The sequence below is a fragment of the Homo sapiens genome, chromosome 16 (assembly GCF_000001405.40).
Source record: "Homo sapiens chromosome 16, GRCh38.p14 Primary Assembly".
Lineage (NCBI taxonomy): Eukaryota > Metazoa > Chordata > Mammalia > Primates > Hominidae > Homo > Homo sapiens.
In genome coordinates this window covers 75,157,472-75,176,830 of record NC_000016.10, presented here as the reverse complement: position 1 = coordinate 75,176,830, position 19,359 = coordinate 75,157,472, and the positions used below count along the sequence as shown (strand labels likewise).

Here is a 19,359-nt window from a genome sequence, read left to right as displayed (position 1 = left end):
CTTCCACCCCCTATTCCCCTTCCTATTCCTCTTTTCCCTTCCCTCCCCACTTCCTCCCTCCTGCGTTGTGTTTTTGAGACAGGGTCTCACTCTGTCACCCAGGCTGGCATACAGTGGCATGATCATGGCTCACTGCATCCTCAACCTCCTGGTTCAAGGGATTCTCCCACTTCAGGCTCCCAAGTAGCTGAGACTACAGGCTCATAACACCACATCAGGCTAATTTTTTGTAGTTTTCTACAGATGGGGGTTTCACTATATTTCTCAGACTGGTCTTGAACTCTTAGGATCAAATGATCCTGCCTTGGCCTCCCAAAGTGTTGGGATTACAAGCATGAACCACCCCCACCCTGGCCCTATTATTTAACCTTTCTGCCCTTTTGTCTCTCTTTCCTTCTTGAACTTCTGAGTGTCAAACATTTGTTCTTTTGATGGCATTCCATAAATGCCACAGTCTTTTCATTCATTCTTTTTTCTCCTCTGACTGGATATTTTGAAATAAAATGTCTTTGAGCTCACATTCTTTCTTCTGCTTGATCACTTCTGTTGTTGCTGCTCTCTATTGCATTTTTCATGTCATTAATTATATTCTTCAGAATTTTTTATTTTTATAATTTAAGTTTCTAATGTTGGTCATTTTCTTTTTTTTTTTTTTTTTTTTTGAGACAAGAGTCTTGCTCTGTTGCCCAGGCTGGAATGCAGTGGCACGATCTTGGCTCACTGCAAGCTCCGCCTCTAGGGTTCACACCATTCTCCTGCCTCAGCCTCCCGAGTAGCTGGGACTACAGGCGCCCACACCATGCCTGGCTAATTATTTGTATTTTTAGTAGGGACAGGGTTTCACTGTGTTAGCCAGGATGGTCTCCATCTCCTGACCTTGTGATCCACCCGCCTCGGCCTCCCAAAGTGCTGGGATTACAGGTGTGAGCCACTGCGCCCGGCGGTCATTTTCTTGATTTAATCAAATTCTCTATTTTCTTAAGAAAATTTAATATGCTGAGCTTCCTTAAAATAATTATTTTGAAATGTCAGGCAGCTCATACATTATCCAAATCTTCTAAATTTCTTTAGGGTCCATTACTGGTGCTTTTTTTGTTGTTCCTTTTTCGGAGGGTCATATTTCCCTGATTGTTCTTGATCCTTCTAGTGTGTTAGTATCTGGGCATTTGAAGAAATAGTGAATAAGTATTCCAGTCTGCAGACTGCCATTGTCTGGGAAAGCTCTTCACCAGTCAACCTGTCCAGAGATTCTGGGGAGGCCATCTGGTGTGATCTGCAAGTGAGTTTGCTGCTGGAGTCCTCAGCCAGGATGGCCTGGTACCTGCATCAGCAGATGGGCAGACCTGGTGCTTGAGTCTACAGAACTGGGCCTGAAGCTTGGATCTACTGGAGTGGACCTGTTGATTGGGTGCATAGGGGTAACCCTGGAACTTGGGTCCTTGAAGGTAAGCCTGGAAACTGTATCCTCTTGGGTTGGCCTGAACCCTTGTTCCATGGGGGCTTACATGGTGCTGGGGTAGGCCCCGGGCTGTGTACAGTGTGCTAGGGTAGACCTGGGCAGGCCTTGGCACCATGTCAGTGCCTGTAGACTGAGGTGAGGCAAGGGCCAGCCTGGAGCCTCAGGCCAGGGGTGCTGACCTGGCTCGGGGCTGGTCTAGAACCCAGGACAGACCTGAAGCCTTGCATCTGCAGGCCTGGAACCCGACTGTGGGACCAGACCTGAAGCTTGGTGAGCCTGGACCACTGAGGTTGGTCTGGAGGTGAGGTGAGCAGACCAAGTCTGCTGTGCTGGCCTGGGGCTATGGGATTCAACCTCATGGTGGGGTCGGCCTGGAAGTTCTCTGTGGGTAGTGGCCTGGGGTCTAGGGCAGTGGGGCCTGCCTAGCTCTGAGTTTTACCCAGGTGAGAAGGTGTTTGGGATGGAGGCAAAGTCCAGTGTTCACTTTCTTCTCTTTCCCCTGTATGGAGGGTGTCTCTGTTGACACTATGGTGCCTGGGGTTGGGGAAGAGGTAATAAAAATAATGTAACACTGTCCTTCGTGCCCTCTTCAATGCATCCTTTTTTTTTTTTTTTTTTTGAGATGGAGTCTCGCTCTGTTGCCCAGGCTGAAGTGCAGTGGCACAATCTAAGCTCACTGCAACCTCAGCCTCCCAGGTTCAAGCGATCCTCCTACCTCAGCCCCCCTAGTAGGCGGGATTACAGGCACGCACCACCATGCCCGGCTAATTTTTGTATTTTTAGTAGAGACGGGGTTTTGCCATGTTGGCCAGGCTGGTCTCAAATTCCTGACCTCAGGTGACCCACCCACCTTGGCCTGCCAAAGTGCTGGGATTATAGGCGTGAGCCACTGCGCCCGGCCGCATCCTTTATTTCTACACTATACCCAGGTGCTGTGATCTCTTACTTGGTTTCTTTAGCTCTTGTGAAGGTAATTTTGTGCATGGAAAGCTATTCAAACTGATGTTTCTGCAGGGAGTCAAGTGCTAGAAAGTTCTATTCTGCCATCTTGCTGAAACCACTCCCGCTGATTTCCCTCTCTGAAGTTGTGACTCTTCACCTAATCAGCTTAAGTCCCATGGTTCATGTATTTCACACCAGTCAATCCAGGCTAAATCCAACTCTGCTGAATGTGGCTGGAACAAAACATACAACCCTGACAATTGATGTTATGTTAAACTCATGACCACTAACCTCAAGTGGGCCTTTAGTGTATCGTACATTTCCTTAATTTTTTCACTCTTCCCTATCCCCCAAACGTCTCACACCACCTCTACCATCCTCACTCTCAGCTAATAACTATGTTTTCAGTTTAACAGTGGAAATAAAAGCAATCAGACAAGAACACTCACAAGCTCTAGCATCTTCTCTGCCCACGCTCTGCCTTCCTCCTGGTTGGTGCTCCAGCGTCTGACCTCTTCACTAGTACCCTGGATCCCAGTGTCTTCACCTGCTCAGGCTCTGCTCTAGTCCATTCTCCTCCTCCTCTTCTCGTACAGCGTCAATTTTTCTACTTATCGTTCCCATGAGTATATAAATTTATCCTAGAATTTCTAATATTTTAAAACACCAAAATCCTCAAAAGCCCCCATCTCTTCAGTTACCCATCCGTTTCTCTGTGTTGGGAGACAATTCTCCATGGGTTTCTCACGTTTCTCACTATCTTACAAGTACATATGGTGATGGCTTTTGTTACAGGCTGTTTTCAGGATGAATAGCCTTAGATAGGTAATCCGTTCTCCAGAGCAACAGTTTGTTTAGCATCCAGTATAATATGTCTTCCTTCTAGACAAAGGTTTGATAGATTTACTTCTAGACCACTGTTTAAGATTCAGGCTCCCTAAACTTGGACCTCCCCTCCTGTAACTCCACCCAGCAAATGTGTATTCGAGGTCAGTACAGTATGTCTTCTGCCAGTATCCATGAAACTGGTAGCTTAACTTGTTACCTTGCAAGTAGGACAAAATCTCAGACTTTTCAGTCCTTAACACTTGGCCCCTTATTCACAGCTCCTGTTTCCAAGTTTATCTTGAATCCTCCTAGATTTACCCTGACCACTCCTTTATAACTGTTTTTTTCAAAATGACCTCACTGATGGTTAATCTCAGCATATATCCAACTTCATACAAATTATTAGTATTTGATATAGTGGCCACTCTTCTACTTCAAAATAAGTGTTTTCAGCTGGCTTCAGATACCACCCTCTACTGGTTTTCACCCTAACCCTGGTGGTTCCTTCTCAGTTTCATTTGCCAGTTCCTGCCCAGCAAACACTGGGGTGAGTGCTCGGGGCTCAGTCCTTGACATTCTTTATACTTTTTTTTCCTAGGTAATCTCACCTAGCTTTATGGCTTAAAATATTATCCCTGTGACAACTCCCAAATTTTTATTTCCTCTGAAATTGGGCTTCAGAGTCAGTCATCTTACCTCTAAACGCATAAGAGGCATGAGACAAACAGTTGCCACTTGGAATGACCATAGGGGAAGAAGGGTCCTTCTGGGAAAGCCTCATTACAGTCGGACCAGCAAGGCTGAAACTGAGATGGGAGATTTGCTGATTGTGCTGTTTCCCCTCCTGGTCCATCCTCCATCTTTCTACCCTGCTTTATCCCAGGAGGACGGCATCACCCGGGCTTCTGATTAGGTTCAGTTGATGGAGGCATCTTCAGGAGACAGCAATAAAGAGCTGAGGCTTTTCCCCCTCTGCTCCCTTTCCTGACAGTTCTGTGTTTCTCACAGTAGCTGCATCTTTGTAGAGCTTCAACATCCACTTAAGAGACACTCTTCCTTTTTATTTTTCTATCTCCTACAGGAAAGAGACCTTCCAACATTTTGGCTCTCACTGGGCTCTGAAACACCATTTCTTCCTTTGGTCCCTAGGGAGACAACAGCTTCTTGGCACTGCTGGTCTCTGGATTCCTTACCATCCGTTGTTTGTTCCCTTAATCCTTCTCTCATTCTCCAAGTCATCCTTTCATAAGGCGCTAATTCAGTTTACTGCTAAAGCCCTCACTGATAAAGCTGGTGAGGTCCACAGGTTAAAAATGGAAGGAATTCTATTCACCAGGCCCATAAAATCATATACAAAGACACACATATATAAGGGTTTATCTTTATTTTATAAAAACTGCTACACACACACATACACTCTCTCTCTCCCCTCTTGCTTTCCTCATTTGACCTAGAGAAGTTTGGAGTTTGTTCCCACACATTCTTTTCAAGGAAATACCATTCAGCCATGGTATGTTTTTACCACAATTTATTCATCCATTCCCTTACTGATGGTCTTTTTTTTGTTTGTTTTTTTGGTCCTTACCAAAAAATACAATATACATTAGTAAACATATAATCTTAAGTGCTGGCGCTTTTTATTCCTTAGGGATAGATTCCCAGGAGATTCCTAGGTTGTAAGAGTATATTAATGTTAAAACAGACTCACAATGTTGTCCAAGGAGGCTGTTACAATTTACATTTCTAAAAGCAGCTATGAAAATAACGTTTTCCCCTCCTTTGTGAGTAAGTAAGATGACAACTTAGACAAAAGCTTATTGGGCTATGGATGTTCTGGATAAATTTGTTCAGAAAGTCACTCAATATATAGTGTGACAGCACATCAATGATATCCAAAAATATTTTTTAAAAGCCAGTTTTTGGTTGCCATTTATAATTTCCAATACATGATTTGTGATTGATAGGGAAAGGCTGAACTTAAGAATTTGAAATCAAGTCTATAAAAGCAAATCTTTGAGTTACACAACAATTCTTGTTAATATCTGGAGAGACCACTGAAAAATCTGATTTTTATAAAAGTGTAAACATGTAAAGGAAAAGTAATAACTTATAACTCATGTTCCAAAGGGAAATGTTTTAGGTTGGCAACAGCAAAACTCAAGGAAGTAGAAATGCCTCCTTTAAACAACAAAATAGTGTAAAAATTTACTTCTAAAGGGGGTTATGCACGTGAAAAATTTAAAAAGCAATGAAACAGTTGACAGTTATTTAAAATAATTTTTCCTCTAAAGTCTCTGAAATGTAACATTTGTGAACTACAGAAGCATCCTACCATTTTTGCTAGACAATTCATGAAATATTAAGGGAAACAAGGAAAGACAAAAACAGGTGGTTTCTGTCTGTGTTACACAATATTTTGGTAACAGACATGCATTTGTATGCAAATATCCCACGGGAAAATAAGAGCATGACGAATGGGGATATTGTCTTTACACGGCAAACTCTTATTCTGTGGTGCATACTGAGTAGTACAGCTCATGTCTGCCTCCTTCACGTTATAGATCGGTTATTTCACATTTGCATATTTGTGTAAATAGTGCTTCTAGAAAATCTTCAGCAAACCAGAAGCAGGGAAAACTTCAACACTGTCTTCTGTTTCCTAAGAGGCAGCTCAAGAACAATGTTCATACCAACTGATATATGCCAGCAAGCAGTAGGGAAAGACGTAGGTTCCATGCTACTTTAAATGTTACACATTTCATTTGGAATGCATACTGGATTGCAGAGATACTGAAAAACACATGTGATGTTTAGTATGGAAAATCTTGTTATGTCCTAATTATCACAGAGGACAAGAATTTCAAATTCCCAGTGATTATGCTAAATTCACATGTGCAGATCTAAAGCATACCACTTGTGTTTTGTGGCATATCCACATAAAACCACTAAATTCATAGGATACTGTTTGTATATTTCTTATGCTGCTGTCTAGAATACTCAATTCATTCAAGATTTTAAAAAGCTCATTGTAGTACAACTGGGTATGGCTATTTACAACTGGATATATTCTGATATGTATTCTTTAGCTGGGTATCACATGTAACTTCCAGTATAATGTTCTCATGGGATCCTATTTTTAATACATTTTTGAGTTGAGAGATTGCATCTCAGTATGAATTCCCATGTTCCCTCAATACTGTCATGAGGTTTTTCACCCGCTTGAAGAGTTCTGGCAGGAGTTTTCCACAGTAAGACCTGGCTGGAGTTTCAGGGTTTCTCCCCGATGTGAACTCTCTGATGGACACTGAGTCGGGACTTCCTGCTAAAGGCCTTCCCACATTCGGAACACTCATATGGTTTCTCTCCTGTGTGGATTCGCAAGTGTAATCTAAGAGTTGACCTCTGGCTGAAAGTTTTGCCGCACTCAGTACATTCATAGGGTTTCTCTCCTGTATGAGTTCTCATGTGTATGATGAGCTGTGAGTTCTGGATAAAGGATTTTCCACATTCACTGCACTCATAGCGTTTCTCCCCCGTGTGAATCTTCTGATGTATGATAAGGTTTGACTTCTTAAAGAAGGTTTTTGCACATTCGTTACACTCATAGGGTCGCTCTCCTGTATGAATTCTCTGGTGTGTGGTGAGTTCAAACTTTTGGGCAAATGTCTTTCCACATTCACTGCACTCATAGGGCTTCTTCTCCATATGTGCTCTCTGGTGTACAATGAGGTTTGACTGGTGGGTGAAAGCTTTTCCACATTCCGGACACTCGAAAGGTTTCTCCCCAGTGTGAATTCTCTGATGTTTGATGAGGTTGGCCTTATGGGAGAAGGTTTTCTTACATACATTGCATTCATATGGCTTTTCTCCAGTATGTATTCTCTTATGACTAATGAGGAGTGACTTAAAGGAGAAAGCCTTGTCACAGTAAGTACAAATGAAAGGTTGAACCAAGTTTTTTATTTTCTGATGTTTAAAAATGGCTGCTTTATGGCTGAGGGCTTTTCCACTTTTATTGTATTCAGAATATTCTACTCCACTGTGGGTTTTCTCTTGCTTCAGGTAGAGAAGTGCTTTTCCAAATTCATTACACTCATCAGTCTGCTTTCCTGCATAGCTTCTATTACTATTAAGCAAGTCTGAATTATATTTCAAAGTTTTTTCATATAAGTCATATTTATAAGGTACTTGTCTTAAAGAAACAAAGTCTGTGTTCAGATTAAGTGCTTTTCCAAAGAGATCGCCTCTTTCCTCAATTGGGGTTTGGTTCTTAAGAATTAAAAATTGCCTCGCCTGCTCGTCTGGGTTTCTGTGGTCTCTCTCCATCTGGTCATCAGCCTTCCACACTTCTAGGAATAGAGAGCACAATGAAAAGAACCTTGTCAATGCCTCCGCTATAATGTTACCGAATGGGAAGTCTTCACACGTGTTCTATCACAGGGCTGACTCTTTAGTTTGGGACCCAGTCTCCCAATATTAAAAAATTCCCAGTGCAAATGTTTCCTTTCAAACTTTGAAAGAGAAAGGTAATAGCTTGTGGTTAAAAAAACAAAACAAAACCAAAATCAATACAAGTAGCATTGCCAGATCACAAAATGACCTTAAAGTGGGCAGAGAGGGTGAAAGGAGACAGAAAACAGAACACAATATGAGAAGGCTGGCAATGCCAGGGAGGGAGATTCACAGTGTTCTTAAGGACACTGCAGTTAGCACAGAGACCGAGAAAGTAAGCAGATGAGGGAATTAAGGGGAAACACCTAAGCAGATCTCGACTAATAGTATTATTTGCTAAACTCGGACTACTATGGTAGAACCAGCACCAGTCTGCATAGTTCTAAGCTTTTTCTCCTTTTTTTCTACTGTTCATCTTTACCAAAATGATTTCCAGAGAACAGCACTTCTCATAGGTTTGCAGTGACAACCAGATAGCAGAGCTCCAAATCTCTTAAGTGAGAATCTTGCAAATGGTAAAATCCAGAAACTCATTCGCTAAGAGATACACAACCCTTACCACAGGATCACTAACTGCTGCTGGTTTTATTGCTTTTTTTTTTCTACTGAAGTTGCTGGGAGAGTGAACATGTTTTCACTATCATATCCTACTTTTCTTCCATTCCTATTTAGAGATAGGGTCTCCCTCATTTGCCCAGGCTGGAGTGCAGTGGCACAATCATAGCTCACTGCAGCCTTGACCTCCTGGGCTCAAGGGATACTCTCAATATTCCAGGCATGAGCCACCATGCCCAGCCTACTTCTTTCAATGTGTTCAGCATCTTAAGGATAAAGTTACCCAGGTTCATTAAGTCAAACAACAGATACTGGCAAGGCTAAGATACACTGTTGGTGGGAATTTAAATTAGTTCAGCCACTGTGGAGAACAGTCTGAAGATTTCTCAAATAATTCAGAACTACCCTTTCACATAGCAATCCCATTAAAAATCATCTGGCCAGGCACACTGGCTCATGCCTGTAATCCCAGCACTTTGGGAGGCCAAGGCAGGAGGATCACTTGAAGTCAGGAGGTCTTATTTTTGTTTTTTTGAGATGGGGTCGGTCTCTGTTGCCCAGGCTGGAGTATAATGGTGTGATCTCAGCTCACTGCAACCTCCGTCTCCCGAGTAGCTGGGATTACAGGCACATGCCACCATGCCCGGCTTATTTTGTATTTTTAGTAGAGAGGGGTTTTCACCATGTTGTTGGTGCTGGTATTGAACTGACCTCAGGTGATCTGCCCGCCTCAGCCTCCCAAAATGCTAGGATTATAAGCATGAGCCATGGCGCCTGGCCTGGGGTCAGGAGTTCTACAGAGAACTTGTCTCTACAAAAGTAAAAAATAATTAGCAGGACATGGTGGTGTGTGTCTGTGATCCCAGCTACTCCAGGCTGAGGTGGGAAGACTACTTGAGCTCAGGAGGTGGACGCTACAGTGCACCGTGATGTCACCACTGGATTCTAGCCTGGGTGACAGAATGAGACCCTGTCTCAAAAAAAGATTCTACCAAAAAGACACATGCCCACTCATAGGTTCATCACAGCACTATGCATAATAGCAAAGACATGGAATCAACCTAGGTGCCCATTAATGGTGGACTGGAAAAGAATGGTACATGTACAAGACACAACAAAGTTTAAGATATGTTAGGAAAGTTTCAGGGTTCAAGTGTGAGAGGCAAATATCTATAAGATTAAACAGGAAAAAAAAAAAGGTAAGCAGGGAGAGACGGATATTTGGAGGTATGCTTCAGAGATTGAGGTACAGGTCATCTGTCCTCAGCTATACTTAAGTGTTAGGGATTTGAAAAACAGATTGCTGAAAAGTATTTCAAAGGTACTGAGCTGCTCATAATCGTCTGGATACTAATTCCACTGGCTTCTGCTTCTCCCTCTCTCCCGTCCTATCTCCCTTAGAATGTTCTGAATTGACAACTCTATGCTACCCAAAACTCTTCTGGTTGCTCCAACTTGAAAATTGCATATGGCTTGACAGCCATTTACTAATGGGACATAGCTCCTAATTGCCTGGACTTCAGAAGCCTTAAAGGAAAGGAGATGATAGAGCTTTAAAGGCTGCAAGATCTCTCAGGTTTAATACCTGAGGACTTAGGCCAAAAACATTTAGTAATTCAGAAGCTCATTTCTGGTCACTGAGACAGGACATAAATACCTCTAGGCACATGGTGAGCTGTACCTGAAAACCGTCCTTACCCACTGAAAGTAAGTTGCTATAATTCTCCAGCATCACATCCATGTATAGGATCCTCTGAGAGGGGTCCAGTTGTTCCCATTCCTCCTGGGTAAAGTCCACAGTCACATCCGTGAATGAAACTGATCCCTGAAATGGCATATTGTTATTCATCCTAAGATGATCATTTGGTGATATAGAAAGGATAGATGAAAACTTTATGTCATTCATCATGAAAATCTATATATTACACCAACGATACATCTTGTTCACTGTTTTTGTTCATGTCTTCCAAAATATATTTTTATAAATAGTTGAGATTTATTCAGATTCCCCTATATCTCTGGCACTGTCATATTTGATAGGTGTCTCAGATTAATAAAACACTATTGGCCAGGCATAGTGGCTCACACCTGTAATCCCAGCACTTTGGGAGGCTAGGTGGGCGGGGGAATCACTTGAGGTCGGGAGTTCGAGACCAGCCTGGACAACATGGTGAAATCCCATCTCTACTAAAATTTAGTCGGGCATGGTGGCACATGCCTGTACTCCCAGCTACGTGGGGGAGCTGAGACAGGAGAACTGCTTAAACCCGGGAGGCAGAGGCTGCAGTGAGCCAAGACTGCACCACTATACTCCAGCCTGGGCAACAGAGTAAGACTGTCTCAAAAAATAAACACTGTTTCTGCTCTCAAGATGTGTACTGTGAGACAAGCACATTAGATATTCATTGTTACCAGTGTGCTAATAAAGCTCACATAGGCATTATTTCTGTGACATCGATGTTTAAATAGTCAAAGTTTTAACTCTTTAAGGCAGAAGATGAACTTCCAACTGTAAAATACCAGGTACAAGTAAGGATCTCTGTCCTTCCATCCCCTCATTCAAGCCATAAAAATGGTAGAAAATTTTTTTAAAAAATACATGGTTGAATTTAACAGGCCAGAATGGCTGAAGAAATGATTAGTCAAAAAATGTCAGTAAATATCTAAACTGAAATGCAAAAGGTACATTAAGGAGCCTAAAAGATATGTGGGACAAGCTAAAAAGGTCTAATATACTTGCAGCAGGAGTCCCAGCAGAGGCAGTGGAAACAATATTTGAAGAGATAACAGCTGAGAATTTTCCAACACACCCCACACCAGGCTATAGTTTTAAAACCAGCAACCCCAAGTACAATAAGTACATTAAAAAAAAAAAATACTCAGCATATAACAAAACTGATTTAAAACCCCAGAGGTGGCCAGGCTCAGGCCTGTAATCCCAGCACTTTAGGAAGCCGAGGTGGGCGGATCACAGGTGTTCGGGACCAACCTGGCAAAGATGGTGAAACCCCATCTCTACTAAAAATACAAAAATTATCCGGGTGTGGTAGAGGGCGCCTGTAATCCCAGCTACTCGGGAGGCTGGGACAGGAGAATTGCTTGAACCTGGGAGGTGGAGGCTGCAGTGAGCCCAGACTGCCCCACTGCACTTGAGCCTGGGTGACAGAGCAAGACTCTGTCTCAGAAAAAAACCCAGAGGAAAAAACAGGTATTGCCTTCAGAGGTACAAAAAACCTGACAGCTAATTTCTCAACAAAAACAATGGAAGTCAGAAGACAAATCTTCAAAGGGCTGAAAGTATTTAGAATGAGTTGGTTGACAAACTTTTTCTATAAAGGGTCAAGTAAGTAACTAACTAGATTTTTCCTTTTCAGGCTACATGTAGTCTCTGCTAAAACAAACCGACTTGGCCATCATACCACAAAAACAGGCATAGGCAACACGTCAACAAATAGGCATGGCTGTGTTCCAATAAAACTCGATTTATGGAGGCCGGGCGCGATGGTTCATGCCTGTAATCCCAGCACTTTGGGAGGCTGAAGTGGGTGGATCACCTGAGGTCATGAGTTCAAAACCAGCCTGACCAAAATGGAGAAACCCCGTCTCTACTAAAAATACAAAATTAGCCGGGCATAGTAGTGCATGCCTGTAATCCCAGCTACTCAGGAGGCTGAGGCAGGAGAATCGCTTGAACCCAGGAAGTGGACGTTGCGGTAAGTCGAGATCGTGCCATTGCACTCCATCCTGTGCAACGAGTGAAACTCCGCCTCAAAAAAAAAAAAAAACTTATGGAAACTAAAATCTGAGTTTCATATTTTTATTTCAAATCATTTTCACAGCACAAAATATTCTTTTGATATTCCCCCCCTCAACCATTAAAATTAAAAACCATTCTTAGCTTGTGGGTCACATAAAAACAAGGCAGCAGCCCATCTGGACAACGAGCCAGAGTTTGACACCCCCGATCTAGAATGATGACTAGTACATAATAGATGTCAAGTATCAGGCATTATTACCACTATTCAAAGATGTACCAAAACCAAAATTAAGCCCAGCAAGAATCAGTTGGATGTGCAAAAAAAGCAACAGCAAACCAGCAAAACATATTAAAAGTATGCAAATATGGAATGGGAAAGGAAGTTGTTTTAAACTAATTTCTGGATGTCATCAACTTAGAAGTTGTGGCAGGAAGAAAGTACCATGTTTGGAAGAAAAATTCTGATTAACTTTTGTTTAAAATAGGAAAGTACTGAAAAAATATAAACCTTTAAAGGGTGGAAATAAGCAGAGAAGGAAAAGCAGATAAAATCAGTAATCAAAATAAAAATGGGATAAATGTCTGTTAAAAGACTAAGACCTTCAGGGTTTAAAAACCTACATATAATTTTTACAAGAGGCAAATTTTAAAAACAACACAAACTTCAATGATCCAGCTAAAATATAAACAAAGTAACAAAGCCTGAAAACAAAAGGCACAGGAAGCTGTCCACAGGAACATCAATAAACAGAATTCCAAAAAATGCACATAACATGACCCAAAATTCTATATAATCCTGTTCATGATATAAAAGTGATTAAACAAAGAGCATGGATACCCCACACAAAACATACTGGTTATCTCTATGATGGAAAGACTGGCTTTAATGGTCAAGAAAATTTTAGGATTGAGTGAGGTGACATAAACAGTGCCGGTGCTGTGGCTCATGTGTGTAATCCCAGCATTTGGGAGGATGACGCAGGAGGACTGCTTGAGCTCAGGAGTTTGAGACCACCCTGGGCAACATGGCAAGACCCTGTCTCTACAACAACAGAACACCTAGCTGGACGTGGTGGTGCACACCTGTAGTCCCAGCTATGTGGGAGGTTCAGGTAGGAGGACAGCTTGGGCCTGGGAGGTCAAGGCTACAGTGAACCGTGATCATGCCACTGCACTTCAGCCCTGGAGACACAGCAAGACCCTGTCTCAACAACAACAAAAAAAAAAGGCTGGGTGCAGTGGCCACACCTGTAATCCCAGCACTCTGGGAGGCCGACGCAGGTGGATCACCTGAGGTCAGGAGTTTGATACCAGCCTGGACAACATGGTGAAACCCCGTCTCTACTAAAAATACAAAAATTAGCCGGGCATGGTGGTGGGCACCTGTAGTCTCAGCTACTCAGGAGGCTGAGGCAGGAGAATTGCTTGAACCCGGGAGGCAAAAGTTGCAGTGAGCGAGATCATGCCACTACACTACTACACTCTAGCCTGGGCAACAGAGCAAGAATGTACTCAAAAAAACAAAACAAAACAAAAAAAACAACAATGCACGCTGGGGAGGGCAGATCCTCATATGATAGAGACAGTAAGAGACAACATTAATGTATGATTTTTGTAATATAAAAAACATTGGCCGGGCGCAATGGCTCATGCCTGTAATCCCAACACTTTGGGAGGCCGAGGCAGGTGGATCACGAGGTCAGGAGTTCGAGACCAACCTGGCCAACATGGCGAACCCCGTCTCTACTAAAAATACAAAAATTAGCCGGACGTGGTGGTGGGCGCATGTAATCCCAGCTACTCGGGAGGCTGAGGCAGAAGAATCGCTTGAACCCAGGAGGCGGAGCTTGCAGTGAGCCAAGACTGTGCCACTGCACTCCAGCCTGGGCAACAGAGCAAGACTGTTTCCAAAAAAAAAAAGAAAAATTACATTTTAATACATTTAAAATATAATACAAGTAATATAAATTTTAAAACCACAGCCATATAAAAGAATGAAATCATATCCTTTGCAGCAACATGGATGCAGGTGGAGGGTATTAACCTAACTGAATTAACACAAACAGAAATCCAAATAGCGCATATCCTCACTTATAAGTGGGAGCTAAACTCTGGGTACTCACGAACATAAAGATGGTAACAACAGACACTGGGATCTACTGGTAGGGAAGGGAGGGGCAAAGGCAAAAACTATTGGGTACTATTCTCACTACTTGGTGACATGATCAATCATACCCCAAACGTCACCATCATAAAAATATCTATGTAACAAATCTGCACATGTACCCCCAAATCTCAAATAAGTTGAAATTATATTTAAAAAAAATCTTCAACATACACAATACATGGAAACGTCAAAATGTTAGGCACTGACTAGACAGCAAAATAGGCGGATAATTAAGTTGACCTATACTTGGGCTGGACGCAGTGGCTCATGCCTGTAATCCTAGCACTTTGGAGCCAAGGCAGGTGGATCACTTAAGGTCAGGAGTTCAAGACCAGTCTGGGCAACAGGGCGAGACCCCCATCTCTAAAAAAAAAAATACAAAAAGCCCAGCTTGATGGTGCCTGCCTGTAGTCCCAGCTACATAGGGGGCTGAGGTGGGAGGATTGCTTGAGCCAAGGAGGTCCAGGCTGCAGTGAGCTGAGATTGCACCACCACACTCCAGCCTGGGTGACAAAGTGAGACCCTGTCTCAAAAGCTGCACCATACTGAAGTTACTTTCAACTGTTTTAATACATAAAAATATTTCGGCTGGGCACGGTGGTTCACGCCTGTGATCCCAGCACTTTGGGAGGCCGAGGTAGGCGGATCACATGAGGTCAGGAGTTCGAGACCAGCCTGGCCAACATGGGGAAACCCTTTCTCTACCAAAAATACAAAAATTAGCCGGGCACAGTAGCGGGCGCCTGTAGTCCCAGCTACCTGGGAGGCTGAGGCAGGGGAATCGCTTGAACCTGGGAGGTGGAGGGTGCAGTGAGCCTAGATCGTGCTACTGCATTCCAGCCTGGATGACAAGTGAGACTCCATCTCAGGAAAAAAAAAAAAAAAAAAAAAAAAAATATATATATATATATATTTCATAAAACTACTATGCTTTATTTGTATTTCTGTGAAATAAAGAAATCTTATAATCTACCATGCATAATGGAAGAAAAAAATTCGAAGGAAATTTCAGAACACCAGCTGCAAAGAGAAAAGCCTGTGAGTTTCAGGAGAGAATAGGTTACAAGTAAGAAGACTGAAAGCCTTCAGACCTCTTGACTACACCAGAAAGCAGTATCTTCAAAATTATCAGACAGGCAAACCATAAAAACTGGACAAAATAAATAATTACTTGCAAGCACAGGAGAGCAATCACTGTAGGGCTACAATTACCAAAAGGCATCTATGAGGAGAGCCACACATTTACGATCATGCTGAACCATGGCACAGAACAACAAAGCCCAAGCAGAAGTGAGTGTTGTTGGCCGGGCGCAGTGGCTCACGCCTGTAATCCCAGCACTTTGAGAGGCCGAGGCGGGGAGATCACTTGTAGCCAGGAGTTCGAGACCAGCCTGGACAACGTGGAGAAACCCCGTTTCTACTAAAAATACAAAAATTAGCCAGGCGTGGTGGCGCACACCTTGTAATCCCAGCTACTCGGGAGGCTGAGGCAGGAGAATCGCTTGAACCCGGAAGGCGGAGGTGGCAGTGAGCCAAGATGGTGCCACTGCACTACAGCCTGGGCAACAAGAGCAAGACTCCATCTTGAAAATTAATTAAATAAATTAAAAAAAAATACAAACTGGTGTTTGGGTCTGTAAAGCAACTAGGATCTAGGGGCAATGCTATGGTTTGAGTATTTTTGTCCTCTCTAAAATTTCATGTTGAAACTTAATCCCCAATTAAGTATTGGGAGGTGTGGCCTTTGAGAGGTGATTGGATCATAGAGGCTCCTCCCCTTGTGAGCGGGGTTAGGAGCCCTTCTAACGGGGCTTGATGAAAGGAGTTCATCTCCTTTTTTGCCCTTTTGCTTTCTGCCATGCCAGGACACAGCACTCCTCCCCTCTGAAGGATGCAGCATTTCAAGTGCCATCCTGGAAGAAGAGACCAGGCCTTCACCAGCACCTTGATCTTGGACTCTCAGCTTCTAGAACTGTGAGAAAATAAATTTCTTCCTTTTTTTTTTTTTTTTTTTGAGGCAGTCTCGCTTTGTCACCCAGATTGGAGTGCAGTGGCATGATCTCAGCTCACTACAGCCTCCACCTTCCAGGTTCAAGTGATTCTTGTGCCTCAGCCACCTAAGTAGCTGGGGTTACAGACAAGTGCCACCACACTTGGCTAATTTTTGTATTTTTAGTACAGATGGGGTTTAGTACAGATGGGGTTAGCCACCACACTTGGCTAAATTTTGTATTTTTAGTATAGATGGGGTTTAGTACAGATGGGGTTTAGTACAGATGGGATTAGTACAGATGGGGTTTAGTACAGATGGGTTTAGTACATGTTGGCAAGACTGGTCTCAAACTCCTGCCCTCAAGGGATCCACCCACCTTGGCCCTTCAAAGTGCTGAGATTACAGGCATGGCTACCTTGCCCAGCCAAGAAAATAAACTTCTGTTCTTTATAAATTACCTAGTCTCAAGTATTCTGCCATGGCAGCACAAAATGGAGTAAGACATAGGATGATGGCGCTACAGAAGCCATAGAGAAGCCTTAACATTCTGCATAAAGATTCACCTCAAATCTTTGGCTAGTTCCTAATATGTGTAGGTGGAGGGCAAGCCTCCAAGACAACTAGTGGCATCGACTGTGAGACTGAGAGCTGACTAGAGATTTCAGAGGTTGCATAGTGCTGAGGAGCTGGGACAGTCTGAATCCAGAAAGATAGAGATACTGGCAAACAGTTGAGATGCCACAAAAGCCATGCCCTAGAAGGATGGAGCACACCCTAGGAGAAAGGAGTATGACCAAACCGATACACCCACACCTGCAAATCTTAAAACATGCCCCAATGGGATCAGAATCATCTGCCAATAATTTAGCTATCTGGCAGACAAAACTTAACATTTTTTAGAAGGAGCTATGTATCATACAACATATCCAGCATACAAACAAAACTGCTAGACATGTGAAAAAGCAAAACCAGGGCCAGGTATAGTGGCTCATGACTGTAATCCCAGCACTTTGGGAGGCTGAGGCAGGTGGACAAATTGAGCCCAAGAGTTTGAGACCAGCTTGGGCAATATACCAAAACCCTGTCTAAAAAAAGTACAAAAATTAGCCGGGCATAGTGGCACATGTCTGTGGACCCAGCTTCACAAGAGGCTGGGGTGGGAGGGTTGCCTGAGCCCAGGAGGTCACAGCTACAGTGAACTGTGAGCGTTGTCACTGTACCCCAGTCTGGGGGTAACCAAGACTCTGTCAAAAAAAAAAAAAAAAAAATGAAAAGTGAGAGAGAGAGAGAAAGGAAGGAAGGGAGGGAGGGAGGGAAAGGAAAGAAGGGAGGGAGGGAGGGAGGGAGGGAGGGAAAGGAGGGAAAGGAGGGAAGGGAGGGAAGGGAGGGAAGGAAGGGAAGTGAGGGAAGGAAGGGAAAGGAAGGGAAGGGAAGGGAAGGAAGGAAGGAATGAAGGAGAAATCAAGCAAGCCAAAACAACGAGGCCAGGCATGTGGCGCATACCTGAAATCCCAGCACATTGGGCGGCTAAGGTGGGTGGATTGCTTGAGCCCAGGAGTTCGAGACCAGCCTGGACAACACAACGAAATTCCATGTCTACAAAAAATACAAAAATTAGCTGGGCATAATGACATGTGCCTGTAGTCCCAGCTATTAAGGAGGCTGAAGTGGGAGGATCACTTGAGCCTGGGAGGCAGAGGTTGCAGTGAATGGAGATCAAGCCACTGCACTCTAGTCTGGGCAAGACTCTGTCTCAAAAAAAAAAAAAAAAAGACAAGACAAAAACAATCAAGAGATAAACAACCCAAAAGGAGCAGATGTAGACAGTACCTATATATTAGTTTTAACCCATAAACACTTCAGACGAACTGTAAAGTAATATGCAAAATATTAAAGAGGTGGTCAGTTAAGATTATAAGCTGTAATCTCTACAGCAACCACTTAAAAAAAAGATAAAAGGGAAAATAGGAACACACAGGACAACTAAAAATAAATAGCAAAATGACACACTGAAATTCACCTATGCCTGTAAAAAAAAAAAAAAAATCACAAATAAAATAATAAACCAATTAAAAGACAGAAATAGGCCAGGCATGGTGGCTCACGCCTATAATCCCAGCCCTTTGGGAGGCAAGATCTCATCACGACAAAAAAAATAAAAAAAATTAAAATTAAAATTAACTGTCACAGGCCTGTAGTCCCAGCTACTCAGGAGGCTGACGTGGGAGAACTGCTTGAGGCTGCAATGAGCCAAGATCACACCACTTCACTCCAGCACTGCAGCCTGGGTGAGAAAGAGAGATCCTGTCTCAAAAAATAAAAAAAATTAAAAAAAAAAAAAAATAGACAGAAATAGGCTGGATCAAGGAACTTGAGGCTGCAGTGAGCTGTGTTCATGCCACTAAATTCCACCCTGGGCAACAGAGGAAGACCCTGTCTCAAAAAAAGAAAAAAGAAACAGGCTGGATCAAAACCACGACCAAACTACAAGCTATTTAGGGGAAATATACTATAAACATATGAACATAAATAGGTTGAAGCAAAAATAAAATATATACCATAACACTAATCATAAAAAAAAGGAGGTATGGGCCAGGCATGGTGGTTCACATTTGTAATCCCAGAACTTTGGGAGGCTGAGGTAGACAGATCTCGTAAGCCTAGGGGTTTGAGACCAGCCTGGGCAACCTGGCGAGATCCCATCTCTACCAAAAACAAAACTACAAAAATTGCCTGAGCATGGTGGTACACGCCTGTAGTTCCAAATACTGGGAGGATCACTTGAACTCAGGAGGCAAAGACTGCAGTGAGTGAAGATCAAGCCACTGCACTCCAGCCTGGGTAACAGAGCCAGATCCGGTCTCAAAACAAACCAACCAACCAACCCAGAAGAGGTAGGTATGGCTTTATTTTTATCAGAAAAGCAGTATTATCAGGGATAAAGAGGGGCATTTCAAAATGATAAAAGGATAAGTCCATCAGGAAGACAGAATCATATGTGTGCACACATCCATAACCATATATGCAATGACTAACACAGCTTCAAATTATATCAAGCCTGACAGAACTAAACTGAGGAATGGACAAATCCACATTCATACCTAGCTATCAATCAAATACCAGAACAGAATGAAGGCCAGGTGCAGTGGCTCTCACCTGTAATCCTAGCATTTTGGGAGGCTGAGGAGGGCGTATCACTTGAGGCC

At 43.0% G+C, this 19,359-nt stretch overlaps 1 protein-coding gene across 13 annotated transcripts in view; it reads right to left on the bottom strand.

Moving 5' to 3' along the window:
• Nucleotides 1–4,596: 4,596 nt before the first annotated feature.
• The window catches only part of ZFP1 (ZFP1 zinc finger protein), a 53,233-nt gene continuing 38,470 nt past the window's right edge, over nt 4,597–19,359 (bottom strand). For 6 of the 13 annotated variants that reach the window (XM_011522921.3, NM_001318469.2, NM_001318471.2 and 3 more), the window contains 2 exons: nt 9,935–10,061; nt 4,597–7,578 (listed from right to left, as the gene is read on the bottom strand). In XM_011522921.3, coding sequence (XP_011521223.1) covers nt 6,497–7,578; nt 9,935–10,061 — 1,209 coding nt within the window. In that variant the 3' untranslated portion in view covers nt 4,597–6,496. Of the gene's footprint in view, nt 7,579–9,917; nt 10,062–17,656; nt 17,679–19,359 lie in introns of those variants that run through there. The other 7 variants (XM_024450168.2, NM_001318476.2, NM_001318475.2 and 4 more) reach the window with 3 other exon arrangements.